This window comes from Homo sapiens, chromosome 8 (assembly GCF_000001405.40).
Source record: "Homo sapiens chromosome 8, GRCh38.p14 Primary Assembly".
NCBI lineage: Eukaryota > Metazoa > Chordata > Mammalia > Primates > Hominidae > Homo > Homo sapiens.
In genome coordinates this window covers 71,833,511-71,848,708 of record NC_000008.11, presented here as the reverse complement: position 1 = coordinate 71,848,708, position 15,198 = coordinate 71,833,511, and the positions used below count along the sequence as shown (strand labels likewise).

The window sequence follows — 15,198 nt, the reverse complement described above, 5'->3', positions numbered from 1 at the left end:
CATGTGACTAACACACCACTGAGGAGGAGCGTTCATTTTCCCAGCACGTGTGTGTGTCTGGTGGGGTGTGTTATAGACAGGAGGTTGAATACACGTGGTAAGACGCAGTCTGGATAATACAGAGAAGCTTATTTCCACAAGAATGTGCCCTCCCAGTGGGTGAGAGTGGGTCTCACCAACACCTTGCCACAACCAACAGTAGATACTCAGTCCATAGGGGTATAGTTAATCCATGAGATTAATCCCTGAGTTGTCCAATAGAAATATAATGGGACCGGTATATTTAATTCTACATTTTTAGTAACCATATGATAATAATTTTAAATGGTGAAATTAATTTTTGTAATATATTTCATTTAACCTAATAGATCCAAAATGTCCTCACAGATTGACATAAATTTATATTTTAAAATATTAATGAGAGCTTTTATATTCTTTTATTCATAGTAAGTTTTCAATACTGGTTATGCATTTTACACTATAGTACCTGAATAGCCACATTTCAAGTGCTCAATAGCCTAATGTGGCTAATGGCTTCCATATTGGCCAGTGCTGATCTAGATTATTCATTTTCCTAGATCAAAAGTATAGGCAATTGGCCGAAGGTATGGCAATTCCTCCAGGCAACAGGAGGCTGTGGGTTGGTCCCACTGCTGTTTCTTAAGTACCTACTCACTACATAGTTTTGGCATGGCCTTCACAGAGGACAGAGGAAGCCTTTGCTCTTCCTGAGTCCTAAGTCCACATGACCTACCCAGTTCTAGAGTTTCTCACCCATTACTTAATATGCTGTTGGAGGAAGGAAGTGGCAACAAATGGCCTTTTTTCTATGATGTGTAATTATCATCCCATCTCATGGCTCCCTTTTTAAAAAACAAACCAAGCCTGCATTGTTAAATGTTTCAATCTGTTAGGCACTGATCTGTGTTCCACCTGGGCATGCTCCTTTGACCTACACCACACCACCAGCAGGATTTCTGGCTTAATCCTTTATGCCAGTAGGGAAAGTAAGGCTTGGAAAAGCACTGCAATTTTAGGGTGAGAGAATTTGGGGGACGAAAAGAAAATTTCTAACGACGTCCCATCCATTTTTCCCTCAGTGAAGTCCCTCATGGGACCTGTGAAAAATGTCATGTGATGAGACCATGTACTTCAGACCCTAGCAGCCTGTAGTCAAAGCAAATGAAAGACCCTGGTACTATCTGAAACCCAGAATAGGCCCTGGAGTACAAAACTTGGGTCAGGTCATTGCCCTAACTTTTACTAGCTGTGTGATATTGGGCAAGGCAATTCATAATACTAACTAGCATTTACTGATCTTCTCCCATGTACCAGGCTCTGACCTAGCCAACTGCTCATATACTTTCTCTTCCGCTCAGAGAGATAATCCATTTTATAGATTAGAAAACTAGGGCTCAAAAAATGCAAATTCCAGAAGTCATATATCCAGCAAGCACGGAAGCCAGGATGAAGAAATATTAAAGGTAATATTAAAAGAATTATTAAATATTTTGTTTTATAATGCAACTTAAGCCCTACTCACCCCATTGAATATTTTTTAAATGTCACTAAAGAATTTCAAGACCATTGATGTACACACAAACAGTCTATACCTGTTTCACATCTAAGAGTTTGTAAAGCATAAGCAAATAGGAATTGATTTCAGTGTGTTTATAAGATAAAAATAAAGGCTGTATTATTCATTTCAGTATGTCACTTGTCAAAACCATGAAAAACACTGGGCTTTCAAAAGAGAGAGTTATACTTACACTGTTCAGCTCGAGAAGCTGTTGTAATCATCCAAGGAGAAGAAAAAGTAATAGCACTTTGAAAGTGGAAGGAGGTGACCAAATGCCAGATATTACAAACATGTTAAAGCAAACTGCAGTTATATGCTTATAAAAAATGCATATAAGGTACATTTCCTAACCTTCATTACCAGTCTGCAACTTGAAAACAGAGTTACAAGTGAAAATATAACTTAATTTCACAAAAATGAAAGAAATGGAGGTTAAATGAAAGATGATGAAACAAACAAAATAAAATAGCTGACTTTCTTGAAAGCGAACAGAGGGAGGGTGAGGAGATGGAGTAGAAGAGAAAGGGAGGGAAGTAGGGAGGGAGGGGAAGACAGAGAAAGAAGACAGGGAGGGAAAGGCGAGTGCTGTGAAAAATAAGCCCGAACTGGTGGGGTCAGACCATTTCTTCAAGAAATAAAGAAACTGGCCATGACCTCCTCAGCGTTGAGGCTGGGTATAGTTTTTGTGACTGTTTAGAGAAATCTAGCGCTCTCCTCACCATTAATCTTTTCTAAAGAAAGACTTTGTTCTGCACCTGTATAAACAATTCAGATTTTAAAAACCTATTCGCCTGCCCCTAATGTGTGAGACTATATATTTATACTGATAGCTTCAAGTCATCAATAGTCGTTGCAGAGAGCTAGCCTGGCTCTCCTCGGTCCATCTCTTTGCCCCTCTTTGTCGCTCTCCTCTCCTTCACCTGGCAAGGCGATCCTAGAGTCAAGTTCAAGTTCAAACGCTCCAGGAAAGATTTCTACACTCTGTCAAATATTCCCTGCATTTCCCTACCCTAGAGAGAGCTGAGGGCAAATGATCTTTTTATTCACATTGTCCCAGAACCAGCCCACCCCCTGCCCCCAACCAAAAGACAACTTGTACAGGGAGAAAACCTTTGCAAATGTGGGTGAGCCGGAGGGGTTATGTGAAACATTCCCCCGGCCCCAAAACGCCCCTGCTAAGGGTAGCGTGGCCTGGGAGACTAAGGTGGAATGATGCCTGAGTGATGAAGTCAGCCTCTGCCAGCCACCTGTTGCAGCACTTCAGCCATCGAGCTGGACGCATTTGTTCTGCTGTACGAACTGGCGGGAGCCAGGCTGGCCCAGCTATCTCTGCCAGCTCTGTCCTGGACTGACTCCACATAGGTCCCCTTGCACCTTGCTCAGCTTGGGAGCCTGTGGACTTTCAGGAAAAGAACAAGTGAACACCTAAGCCTGTGTGACGACTCAGTTTCATCATTGTAAAATGGGGTAACCATATGCCAAACTCATACGGGTTTTATTACTCAGTGAGCTGCTCACAAGCCGCGAGTACAGTGACGGGCACACAGCGGGCACTCAGTCTCTGACCACTGGGGCCCGTATCCACAGACGTACTTATCCCCTGACCAGGAACTGCGATGACCTTCGAGTTAGGAAATAATGAGACTGCAAAATTGTTGTGTTTTCTTGTGTGGAAGAGCAGGATGTTTTAGTCTTGTTTGGAATGGAACATGATCATTCAGGGTGCTCCTTTGTCGTTTTTACTTTGAATGGACGATTGTGCTAACTTAGCATTCTGCTTCCAGGAGCTCGCTCTTCAATACACAATCTATTAAATACAATAGCAAGGATTCCCTACATTATAATGCAAAGCTTTAGGGCCGGATCCTCCAACACACGCATTGTGGTATTAAAACAAAATCACATCACGCATGGAACTCTCAAGATAGTGGAAAATACCAGCTACAACATCCAGTGATGTGTGACCCGGAGGCACGGAGCTGACTAGAATACCGACGGGCCAGAATTTCAAAACGCGGATTTTGAATCTTTTTTTCTACTTAGCCTAATAAGTTTGGGTCTTTTACTTAACGTCTATCTAGGCGGCTCAGCTTCAAGTTCTGCAAATTGGAGATAATATCATTAAGTTACAGATGTTATTTGAAAAGGCAACGAACCATTGTAACCATTTTTGTAAACCATGAAGGTATATTATAAGAAAAGGAGGAGGAAAATGAGAGGTAACTTGTGCATTGTTGGATGTTGTTTGCCTGTTCTGCTTTTTCTCTTGTCCAGCAAGGCTTGGGTAGACAATCATACATCATGAATGGTTAACTTGAAAACTGAGTTCTACTGGAAAGACTGGCAGGCAAGCAGAGGTCGGAATCCCGTCGTTTCTAAGTGTCTGGTAATCTTTGCCACTGCTAAGATTACCTGGGGGTAGAAGCACCGTCGGTAGGAACAAGATGTGCCCCTTCACTCCCCGAAAGCTCACTTATCCTGCGCAGACATGTTGAAGGGCCGTCGGGCTTCAGAGCCCAAATCTCGGCTCTGCAGAGACGTCCCCTTCCCCCGCCTCCACCAACCGCTCTTCGGCATGCAGAAAAGCGGTCCCCACCCCTTCCACGCCCCTGCCCCACCTCTTGGCCCCCTTTACAACCCCCTCTTCTTTGCCCGGGGTGGTTTGTTCCAAGGAGTACAGATAGCCTTTTCAAAAGGCGCAGCTTACCGCGGTGCGCGCGGATTCTGGACTTGGGCGCCAACTCGTAGTCCACGCTCCCCGGGGTCAGCAGAGGGGCGCTCACGCTCTCGCCACCCACCTCGCTTTCTCACCCCGCGCTTCCCGGCCTGGGTTTTTAGTCTTCCTTGGAGCGCTCTCTGGCCTCCGCCTCCGCCAGGGAGCGGAAGGCGGAGACAGCGAGACTGGCCAGGGGGGAGGAAAGAGGACGCGTGTGGGCAAGGGGGACAACGGGATGTCCACGGGCTCGGTGAGTGATCCGGAGGAGATGGAGCTTCGGGGGCTGCAGCGGGAGTACCCGGTCCCCGCCTCCAAGAGGCCGCCCCTCCGCGGCGTAGAGCGCAGCTACGCCTCGCCCAGTGACAACTCGTCGGCAGAGGAGGAGGACCCCGACGGCGAGGAGGAGCGCTGCGCTCTGGGCACAGCCGGCAGCGCGGAAGGCTGCAAGAGGAAGCGGCCCCGTGTGGCTGGGGGCGGCGGCGCAGGTGGTAGCGCGGGCGGTGGTGGCAAGAAGCCCCTCCCGGCCAAGGGCTCAGCCGCAGAGTGCAAGCAGTCGCAGCGGAACGCGGCCAACGCCCGTGAGCGTGCCCGGATGCGCGTGCTGAGCAAAGCCTTCTCCAGGCTCAAGACCAGCCTGCCCTGGGTGCCCCCCGACACTAAGCTCTCCAAGCTGGACACGCTCCGGCTGGCTTCCAGTTACATCGCTCACCTGCGGCAGCTGTTGCAGGAGGACCGCTATGAGAACGGCTACGTGCACCCAGTGAACCTGGTAGGGGCGCGGCGCGCAAGGATTCGGGAGAGCAGCCAGGAGATACCCAGGGCGCTCCTGGGCGCCGGGCAGGGTCAGCCCGTTGGGAAGAATTCGAAAGGGGTGGAGGTTCTGGGACTGGGAACGAGAAGGCCAGTTTAGTTTCTCCCAAATCAAGGGAGTGGCCAGCCATTTCCCTGAAGAAGAATCAACCCTCCGTGTCTGTTTGCATCGTTCTGAACATTGTACCCCAGTGACAGCCATTGACTAATATCCTACTTCCAGGGTAAATCTTGGTTCCATCTCCATCTGCCACCAGGTTGCAGACTGACGGCAAATCTCCCTTGCCCAACTTAATCCAGCTGAGTCGGGCAGGTTTGAATCGGCAAGCCCTTTCTTAAAGGAGGGAAGGCCGAGCTCTATAAAAGAGCATTTGCATTTTTAGAAAAATTGCTTGTGGAAGATAGTAACGTTTCCCCAGATGGGATTTATCTGGAAAGTCCCTCTCTGATCTGCCAGCTCTCCCGGCTTGGGAAAAATCCTGTCCAAGCCCAGTTCCTACTTGGAGCTTGGAGTGGATGACTGTGTGTGTGTGTGTGTGTGTGTGTGTGTGTGCGTGTGTGTGTGTGTGTGTTGGGGAAGGGAACTAAACGACAGAACCTCAAAGTCAGATGAGTTTCACCAAATTATCCTGCGGGCAAAGTCCAGGAAGAAGCGTGAACGGATATGGCAAGTCTCGGATTATCAACCTCCAGTAAAATGAAAATCTTAGTTCAGAGAGAGGACATGCAAATTCCCAGAATGCTGATAAAATCTTAGCTACTCCAAGTCAGGAATATCTGGGGTTCGCGTAGGAGAGCTGTTTCGGTTTGAGACAATCGTTTCTCTCTAATATCTCACGTTCTTTTTGATTTACAGACATGGCCATTCGTGGTCTCGGGAAGACCGGACTCTGACACCAAAGAAGTTTCCGCAGCCAACAGACTATGTGGAACCACCGCTTAAATCGGACTGGAACTCACTTGATGGGATTATTCGTTAAATGCGAGTGTTTGGGGGCCACGGAGAGAAGGGAGAGCTCGTGAGATGGGAAGAAGTTTCCGCTGGATTCTCCTTGACCCTTCCCCTTTCCCTGGAACTGTGATCGTGACAGGTGGCGGGTGTGGCTGTCACTGCACAGCGCCCACGGCTACAGCTGCGCCGGATCTGGGCGACCACGTTTTGCCTCTCCAAAAAGAGCTTCCTTTCGTGACGAGACGCGGACGCAGGTCCACCCTCGGGCCCTAGCTCTGTAGACTAACTCTCGGCTGCTGCCCCAGCCCGCGCCAGACAGCCCACGGATCCGTTCTCAGCGGAGCCAGATTCATCGCACACGTGCGGGACGGTTCCACACAGCCCCGGCCTTTCGCGGTGACACAATGGTTAGGGAACGGTTAGAACGCGCTCTACATCCGCTTTAAAGACAGAGGTCTAGACGTGAGATCCGCGTCGGGACAGGGTTTTAAGTGACAAAGAAGGGCGAGTGGCTTCTCTGGGCCGGGTTCGTACTCCAGCACAGCGCCCTTCTAACGGGCGGGAGGAAGGCCGCTGCTCGCAGGGCTAGGTGGAGACACACTTCCCAGATCACCGCAGGCGGGTTTTACCCGGAGAGCTCTGGGCCGTTCGGCCTCCCTGCCGGGTGGCTTCTTCAATCCCGTCTCCTTCCCAAGCTCCCGGCTTTTTCTAATCAGGCAGGCGTCTGTCAACCCTCTCCACTTCTGGGCTGAAGCCTCCCCAAGCCCCGCTGCGCCAACCTGTGTGGGGTCTTCTTCGGGCCTCCCTCTCCGCCCCGCTCCTGCTCCTACCTGCAGCACCCCCAGCTCCGACTCCAGACTCTCTGCATCAGGTCTCCCCACTCCACGCTCCGGGCGCCCCAACTCCAACACCACGTCCTGCCGCGCAGGTTCTTCCCCGCGCGGAGGAGCGCGCAGGGTGGGCGGCTTACCATAGCAAGTGATCCTGCGATAGGGAACGCGCCCTTGCCCCGAGGCTGCACTACCACAGGAAATAACATATGTAAATAAATTTATTTTTTTATGAATAATAAAACGCGCTGTAAAAACCGTGTGCCCCTTGGAGGTGTCAGGATGTGGTCTTTGTTGCCCTTTACTAAGAGGGTTTGGCTGTAGAAGTTAACTTTTAAGGGCTGATCTCCTCTGGTCAGGGCGGTGGGTCATTGCGGGAGGAATGGTGGCGATCACTTTTGGATCACTCCATTTCCAAACGTCATTCTTTATTAATCTCTATGATTCTGCTGCTTCTCCGCGCCGGGCTTCCTGGAAGGCCATAACTGGAGGCCTAATAAAAGTCCTGAGTCTTGAGGCCCCTGCTGTCCTGACAGACATACACTCCTCAGGCTAACATAGGTGCACGTCTCTCATACACACACACACACACACACACAACACACACAGCAGCTACTCCAGCTAAAAGCACACTCCAATCCTTACCATTGCAAGTAGTTCAAAAAAAAACCCTAAGGCCCACCCACAAGTCTCCAGTGTAACTGGCAGAATAAAACCCTAATATAAGAAGCCAATTTGTATTTCAACGGTGCTTTTCTTTTATCAAATGTTTATATATCTTTTTAAACGTACACTCATTTTCCGTGTTATTTTCTTCCACTTGTACTGCAATTTTTGTAGAAGGTAACAACTTGGAAACCCTATAATACAATTTTTAAAACGGCTGGTTCTTTTAAAAGCAACGTTCTCTTTGTAGAACATTTAGAAAAGTGTAAAGGATAAAACTACACAAACAACTGCCCAACTTGGGGTTCTGTCCATTTTGTGCAATTGAAAGGCAGTTTTCCTGACCCTGAGAGAAAAATACAGCTGGATTTTAGTTAGGAGGTAAGGGGGGTTGGGGTGGGGAGAGTGACTTCCTGTTTTGAGTTAAACCAACCAAAATGCTAAAGAACTGCTTTCTGACAAGATTGTCTTGGGCTTTTATTCATAACCTGGGACGGAACCCGCCCTGGGGATCCAGTCTAACATCAGTGGTGTCTGTGGCATTAGGGGCTTTCTGACAAGAGGGAACCTGAAGTAACCTGTGGCAGGAAACCCTACCAAGCACTTCAGCGGTGAGTCCTGGGTAGAAAGCTTCTTGAGGAAGAGTGTCTGCTGAAGGCCAGATCTTAGTCAAGGTGACTTCCAAAAAGTCCAGCAAATTAGGCTCTTTTCAAGGAAAGGAGGCAGCTCAGTGTAAGTAGGTTAAAGGGAACCTGAGTGTCTAAAGAACCCAGCTTGAAATTCAAGCTTTGCCACAGGATTAGTGAGCATGTGCAAGTTACATTATGAACACCTCTGAGCCTCAGTTTCCTCTTCCGTAGAATGGGGGTCATCACAGTGCCTACCTGGAATATTGCCTTAGGAATAAATATGATAATGTATTTAAACAAATCATTTAATATGCAATGAGCAGTGCACTAAATGCTGGTCACTAAAGGAAATCCAGAGGCAGAGGGAACCACTTCCGCAAAGGGGGATACTTTAAACAGGTGTGACATTCGCAGAGTCCAGTCTTTAAGGTTGGATCTTGTTTTGAGATGCCTGGATTACAACCGTGAAAGAGAAATGTCCCACAAGAGTGGACAAACAGAAATACAGAAAAACAGAAAGAATAGCTATATTTGTAGTGAATACAAATAAGAACAAGCATTTGAATAAACAAGGAAATATTTGGGCAAATTTCCACAAGTGAAAGAATAATATTTAAAATATGTGTTTCTATAATTATATTCCTTCTGGCCAACTCAGGAGTAAACTCACAGATTTTCTGTCTCTAACCCCCAATTAAGGTGATGCTTGTCACTGACTCACATGTACAGGGAGTGTTGCACTGCACCCTGGAAATTCATTTTAATGACCACTTTATAGTCCTATAGTTTATGAAGAAAAAAAAACTTTCTCAAGAATGCTCTGCTCCACAGTTTCTGTAAAAAATCCAATGCCAGGCATTACGTTATTTAAGAAAAGAAGAAGAAAAAGAAAGAGGCCACTTTCTAGTAAGCCCCAATGAGTCCATGTAAATTATGCAAGCTTCTGTGCATGTGTTGCTGTTGGGACAGGCCTTAAACATCTTAAACCAGCCTTTTCTTTATCTACCATTACTAGAGTGTGTTCTAAGTGGTAGACAGGCATCACCAAATCTCTCTCTCTCTCTCATCATTTTCCTTTAGTGATTTGAGTTTGAGAAATGGGAGTTGGGGTTGGAGAAGTGGGCAGGAAGTGGGGTGGGGAGCGGGGCTTAAGAGAAAAAAATGAAGTATGTGCTTAGGATTACTTCGATTTGATTGTACTGCTATGAGAGAAAAGATGAGAGAAAGAAGTCTAAGAAATACAATGTACAATGTGCTAAATAACAAACAAAATGAGTAAATTGAATAATACTCTTCAGGGGGCTTTTTGAGGGACCAAAGCATTATTATTAGTGATGCTGACTCAACCAAAGAGAACAAAAATCCCCTTCCACAGACTCTTCCTAAGATGAATATCTGAAAAGAAACGCTTTCAGCACTGTAATTTTGAAACATTCAGGCGTTTCTCTTGGTTGTGGAGTTGAATTTATGTTGTGCGTATTCTTTTGCACTGGGCTTCAACTTATAATTTCACTTTAGTTTGGCAGCTCCTTCAACAGATAGCAACAATGACCCTTAAAATTCACAAAAGACTTTCACAGTCACAGATTTTTCCCTGATAATAAATGCCTAGAAGTTAAAAAAATAAAGAAACATCTCTTGTCTGTAAAACACACACACACAAACAAACAACTAAATGAACACATTCTATTTTAATAGATATTTGGTAGATAATTTGGTTGATACTTCTGAAAAAATATTAAAAATTAAAACAGTAACTCAGAGTCACATTTGGAAAGGAGAAACAAGGTAAATTGATAATTCACTTCTCACTACCAAGCTTCCAACTTGTGGGAAAGTCCACCAGATTGGCTCCCTTCGTAACTGATCACGTGGCCATATCTCCTTTCAGTGTGAACTCTGCATACTCATTTGTGGGCACCCAGGGTGTTTGCATCAGTGCACTCACCACTCTCCATTCATCCCTTTCACTGTTGTGTTCACGTTTTGTGTTATTTTTCGTCTTTCTCCCACAACAGTGAAAGTTGATCCAGAGAAATCCTTCAAACCCAGGGCTCTAAAAAGGTCCAGAAAGTAGCCACAGTCAGAAATCCACATGTAATCATGTAAACTCGTGTAGCATTTAGCAGCCTTCTCTCTTGTTGGTTCTGCTATCACCAAGATAGTTCTGGATCAGCCTTGAGATTCTTTATGGCTTATGGTAAGGAGGATCGTGGAGCAAATAAAAGCTGGGGCTTTCATTTGGTGAAAATATGCTGTCTGTATGGACTATTACTAACTTTTAGCAGTGGAACGGGAGGGGAGGAAGAACAAGAAGCTTTTATCTTTTACTTTTGTTTGTTGAAAAAATTTGCATATTACGTTTGGAATTTGTAAAAACTCATTTAAAAAAAAATTCACAGATGGCTGGGTCAGATGTAGTGGGTTCCAGTCCCACATTTCCTGGCGCTGCATAATGTACCTTACCTCTTCTGTAAGTCAGGAATCATTCATTCAACCTCACACAACACTTTAAGAGTGGATTACATGAAATCGTCTCATTAAGCACTTGGGAAATGCTCCATAGATGAGAATTTAAAAAAAAAAAGGCTTGATTTTCTTTCTCTTTTGCTTATAATAGTTTATGTCCTTGATCCTCTGAAAATTTATCTCATCAGTCCCTTTTGCCATTTTATCACCTTGCTCTTTTATGCTACTTTTGTATATTGACCTCTTTCTTGTTACTAAGGAGAAATTTTCATTAAGCTTCTTCCCATAACACTCAGCATCAAAAATTATGCATGAGATTTTAAACTCATTTCAGGGTACAAGATAAAACAATGAATTTGTTTTAATTTTTTATCTTCAATTATTATGGATACATAATAGCTGTATGACTTATGGGGTACATGTGATATTTTTATACAAGCATACAATGTGTAATGATCAAATCAGGGTGATTGGGGTATTCATCACCTCAAACATTTATTGTTTCTTTGTGTTAGGAACATTCCAATTCCATCATTTTAGTTATTTTGAAATATACAAAAGATTATTTTTAACTATAGTCACCCTATTGTGCAACTGAACACTAGATCTTACTCCTTATCTAACTGTATTGTTATTTGCATTAACCATGCCCTCTTTATCCTCCCTCCTCACTACCTTTCCCAGCCTCTGGTAACTGATATTCTACTCTCTATATCTGTGAGCTCACATTTTTTAATTCCTACATATTGGTGAGAATAATGGATTCAAAAAAGTGGTACATATACACAATGGAATATTATTCAGCCATAAAAAAGAGTGAAATTCTGTCATTTGCAACAACATGGATAGAAATGAAGGAAATTATGTTAAGTGAAACAAGCCACACTGATGAATTTTGATGTTACAGAGTACCACAAGTTTGTTTAGCTAATTTTGGATTTCATGAAATGTTACAACCAACATTTCAGGAACTACACTTGTGGAGTTTTGGTGTCATATCAAAGAATGTTCACAATTACTTGCAATATCCATTAAAATATTTTTACATACACATTTACATACATACAATATTTTACATACATATTTAAACTACAATTACATGCCTTACTTCTTTCTCCTTATAATTACATGTGTTTGTGAGGCTGGACTTTCAACCAAAATAACATATCACAACAGATTGAAGCAGAAAGCCAATATGAGAATGCAGCTGTCTTCTATAAAGTGAGACGTTAAAGAGATTTATTTGCAAAAATATCAAATTATGCCACCCTTCCCATCAAAATGTTTTAGAAACATAGTTATTTTTTATTAAAAATGTTATTTACATTCACATGTAATTAGCTTATTATTTTAAAATTTATTAATAAATAAATATTTTTGTTTGGTTTTGATTTCTTTTTATTTTAATTAATTAGTTTATTTAAGAGACTGGGTCTCACTGGTTTTGATTTCTGCTCCAGTGAATGTCAACAGATACAAGCCAGCTACATAAGCAAAAGCTTTTAAGAGTTTTTAATAACTTTTAATAACTTTTTAATGAAAGTATGAAGAGACCAGAGATCAAAAAGTTTGAGAACCACTGGCCTAGATAATTCTTAAGGCTCTTTTCATTGATAAGAGTTAGTAGTGTTTTCTTGATTTTGCAGCAGTCTCAGTAGGACAGAAGCCTGTGGATCATGTATAGGTTGGATATGGGAGTAAATATTTCATCAGAAAGACTGACTAGAGAGGTTAGGATAATGACTTAACTGGGCTAGGCTTTCTTCATGAACACCTCTGTAGTCCAGCCAGGCAAATCAGTAGGGCCAAATGCCTGAGCTGGTCTCCTGTAGTCTGCACTCAGAAGGCTTTCTTTACCACCTCCTACTCTTTCTTCCTAGTACCCATCTCTCCTGTCTCCTATTTAGGCCCTTGAATTTTGAGTCTTTGTAACCTCAGGGCTGGACCTGGAATTCAGATGAAAGGAAAAGTGATGCCCAAAACCCAGGTCTCTAAAATCCCATTTCTTTTGCACATATATTATTATTCTCTGAGAATTATGTTAGAATCATAACATTATATAATCCTAATAAAGAAATTTATTTCAAGAAACTTGGGAATCATTTTCATTGATTCTCAATAAAGACGATTTTATCTATAGGTCTGCCAAATGGCCGACAAATATATTTGCTCATGATAATATAGATTAATTTCTCTAAGGTAAGCCACTAAAACAACTAAATGCCTTGGCATGCAATTTAAGTACAAAAGAAACAAAAACAAACAACAATAAAAAAAAAACGAGGGAATCATCAAATATTTTTGAAGCAAACTTCTTCCAATGTAAAGAAAGGATACCATAAAATTTAAAAAGTCCAGGACATGAAGGCCAAGGGATTTGAACAATCTTTAAAGAAACTGTTCCAAGAGCTAGGGAGGGGGAAAGGAGGGTCCCTTGTGCAAAAGTGACAAGGACTCTGATATGGTTTGGATCTTTGTCCCCTCCAAATCTCACATTGAAATGTGATCCCCAATGTTGGAGGTAGGGCCTGGCAGGAGATATTGGATCATGGGGGCATATCCCTCACAAGGGGCTTAGCACCATCTCCTTGGTAACGAGTGAGTCCTCACTTAGTACACACAGGAGCTGGCTGTTTAAAGGAGCCTAGCACCTCCTCTCTCTTGCTCCCTCTCTAGCCATGTGATACGCCTGCTCCCCCTTTGCCTTTTACCACGATTGTAGGCTTCCTAAGGCCCTCATCAGAAGCAGATGCCGGCACCACTCTTCCTGCAAAGCTTGCGGAACTGTGAGCCAAAATAAACCTCTTTTCTTTAAAAGTTACCCAGTCTTGGGTATTTCTTTATAGCGATGCAAACAAACTAACACAGACTCCTCATACAAAATCCAGCTAAGGAGCACCTATACCATAAATGGCAATGCTCTAAAATGTGGAAACAAAGGCCTTAGGAGCCTGAGAGGAAAAGGTGGGTAAACAAAATATAAAAAGAGGACGGGTCTGTGAGTGATGGGAAAGACCAGAGTTATAACACAGTTCAAATCTTTGCATTGCCAGAGGTGCGCTGCTGGCACAGGCTAAATGCTATGCTCTTGAGTCAAGCATCGTAGATGTTTCTGACAAGGCACTGTATTACCAGCTGTTTACATGCACAGACTCTCTGGGTATCTCTAACATTTATTTATTTTCATTATAGGTTTTCCCTCAAGTTGTGGTGATGAAATAGGCTAAGCTATCCACCTTCTCGGGATCAGTCTTCCTTTGACTAACATTTCTTTGGAGACTTGGAGAGGGACAAAGATGGCTCTATTAAACTATGGGGTGCCTAGTCACAAGAATGGTCCCCAGTGAACCAGACCCCCTAGTCTCCAGGCCCTGTGTAGGGGTGGCCCAGTTACTTGCTTTAACCAATAGAAAGGAGGCAGAAGTGACTCTGCCAGTTCTGGCCTAAGCAGTAAGGGCTAGCAGCTTCCTCATTTACTTATTGGGATCCTTATGCGTCCATGTGAGAAGTCCAACCAAGTCCCTGAGGGCACCAAATGGCGAAACCACCTGAGAGAGAGATGCCCTAAGACCACACTGAGAGAACCAAGGAGCCCAGCTGACAGTGCAGACTCAGACCCCAGACATGCAATCTTAGGACCCCAGGACCCCAGGGGTGCCATTCCAGCCAGCTGTGAAATCATCCTAGTGGAATGAGAAGAAGCCTTACAGGACAGATAGCAGAGGTGCACCATTCCCGCTAGGTCCTGTCCTAATTCCTGACCTACAGAGTCATGAAAAATGAAAATATAGTTGTTATTTTAAGCAACTAAATTTGGAGTTCTTTGATACTCAGCAATAGATAACCAAAACATACTGTCAAGTAAATTTTTCACATCAGCCATTTATTCAAGAAACATTTTTTGATCATCTGCTATTACCCAGGACAGTGCTGGATAGACCAGAATGAATCAGAGAGTTGCCTCTTCTCAAAGAGCTCTAAAGGAGGAAAAGGACAAATGGCCCAACAATTGAAGTGCAGTGTGCCAAGGGCTATGACAGAAGGTGGCGCTGTGAGAGGAAAGGCACAAACCCCAGCCCCAGGCTGTCATGGGGGTCTTCCCAGAGAGCCGACAAGGGAGGTGACTATTGGAGGAGGCTAGGCAAGGCAGCAGGAGGGCATACCAGAAGAATATAAATGACAGCAGGCTGCCATCACTAACCAGTGATGGGGATTATCATCTAGGATGGTGGTTAAGAACATGGACTCTTACAAGGGACTTCAAATCCCTGAGCCTCAGTGTTCTCATTTGTAGAATGATGATATAATAGAAGCTACCTGATGGCTTTGTTGGGAAGATTAAATGCAATATTGGAAGTGAAATACTTAGCACAGTGCCTGGCACATAGTAAGTGCTTAGCAAATGCTAGTCTATTAGTATTGTTGTCACCATTATCATCGCACTGAGATGATCTCCATGTTCTCTTGACAAACTTTAAGCAGGTGCTGAGGGGCCTATCCCTGACCATTCAGAGTCACTCATTTTCCCTTAAAGCTGAAAGATATGA

The 15,198-nt window shown here is 44.1% G+C and overlaps 1 protein-coding gene and 1 long non-coding RNA gene across 3 annotated transcripts in view, besides 5 other annotated features; one reads left to right on the top strand and one right to left on the bottom strand.

The window, feature by feature from the left end:
* The window catches only part of MSC-AS1 (MSC antisense RNA 1), a 213,190-nt gene extending 207,604 nt beyond the window's left edge, over positions 1 to 5,586 (bottom strand). The window contains exons 1-2 of one of the 2 annotated variants that reach the window (NR_033652.1): positions 5,005 to 5,586; positions 4,287 to 4,480 (exon numbers count right to left, since the gene is read on the bottom strand). This is a non-coding gene — a long non-coding RNA (MSC antisense RNA 1). Of the gene's footprint in view, positions 1 to 4,286; positions 4,594 to 5,004 lie in introns of those variants that run through there. The other variant, NR_033651.1, reaches the window with a different exon arrangement.
* Positions 2,790 to 2,839: a silencer, noted in NCBI's record as "silent region_19279". NCBI's record gives its function as "represses an Ori minimal core promoter by ATAC-STARR-seq in GM12878 lymphoblastoid cells {active_cell/tissue: GM12878}" and the evidence as "EXISTENCE:reporter gene assay evidence [ECO:0000049][PMID:35858748]".
* MSC (musculin) lies at positions 4,297 to 7,149 on the top strand. Its single transcript, NM_005098.4, has 2 exons — positions 4,297 to 5,064; positions 5,962 to 7,149. Exons 1-2 carry the CDS (start codon positions 4,531 to 4,533, stop codon positions 6,046 to 6,048), a joined length of 621 nt encoding a protein of 206 aa, NP_005089.2. The 5' UTR covers positions 4,297 to 4,530; the 3' UTR covers positions 6,049 to 7,149.
* Positions 4,679 to 4,948: a silencer, noted in NCBI's record as "silent region_19278". NCBI's record gives its function as "represses an Ori minimal core promoter by ATAC-STARR-seq in GM12878 lymphoblastoid cells {active_cell/tissue: GM12878}" and the evidence as "EXISTENCE:reporter gene assay evidence [ECO:0000049][PMID:35858748]".
* Positions 6,644 to 7,504: an enhancer, noted in NCBI's record as "H3K4me1 hESC enhancer chr8:72753440-72754300 (GRCh37/hg19 assembly coordinates)". NCBI's record gives its function as "activates a minimal SCP1, AML or CMV promoter by ChIP-STARR-seq in primed H9 embryonic stem cells {active_cell/tissue: H9 hESC(primed)}" and the evidence as "EXISTENCE:reporter gene assay evidence [ECO:0000049][PMID:30033119]".
* Positions 8,197 to 8,276: an enhancer, noted in NCBI's record as "active region_27521". NCBI's record gives its function as "activates an Ori minimal core promoter by ATAC-STARR-seq in GM12878 lymphoblastoid cells {active_cell/tissue: GM12878}" and the evidence as "EXISTENCE:reporter gene assay evidence [ECO:0000049][PMID:35858748]".
* Positions 9,421 to 9,480: an enhancer, noted in NCBI's record as "active region_27520". NCBI's record gives its function as "activates an Ori minimal core promoter by ATAC-STARR-seq in GM12878 lymphoblastoid cells {active_cell/tissue: GM12878}" and the evidence as "EXISTENCE:reporter gene assay evidence [ECO:0000049][PMID:35858748]".

What these genes read in the sequence shown, in the direction of transcription:
- MSC (NM_005098.4), top strand. Translation starts at nt 4,531, where the DNA reads ATGTCCACGGGCTCGGTGAGTGATCCGGAGGAGATGGAGCTTCGGGGG. An exon ending in ACGTGCACCCAGTGAACCTG is followed by an intron (nt 5,065 to 5,961) that starts GTAGGGGCGCGG and finishes TTTGATTTACAG; the next exon opens with ACATGGCCATTCGTGGTCTC.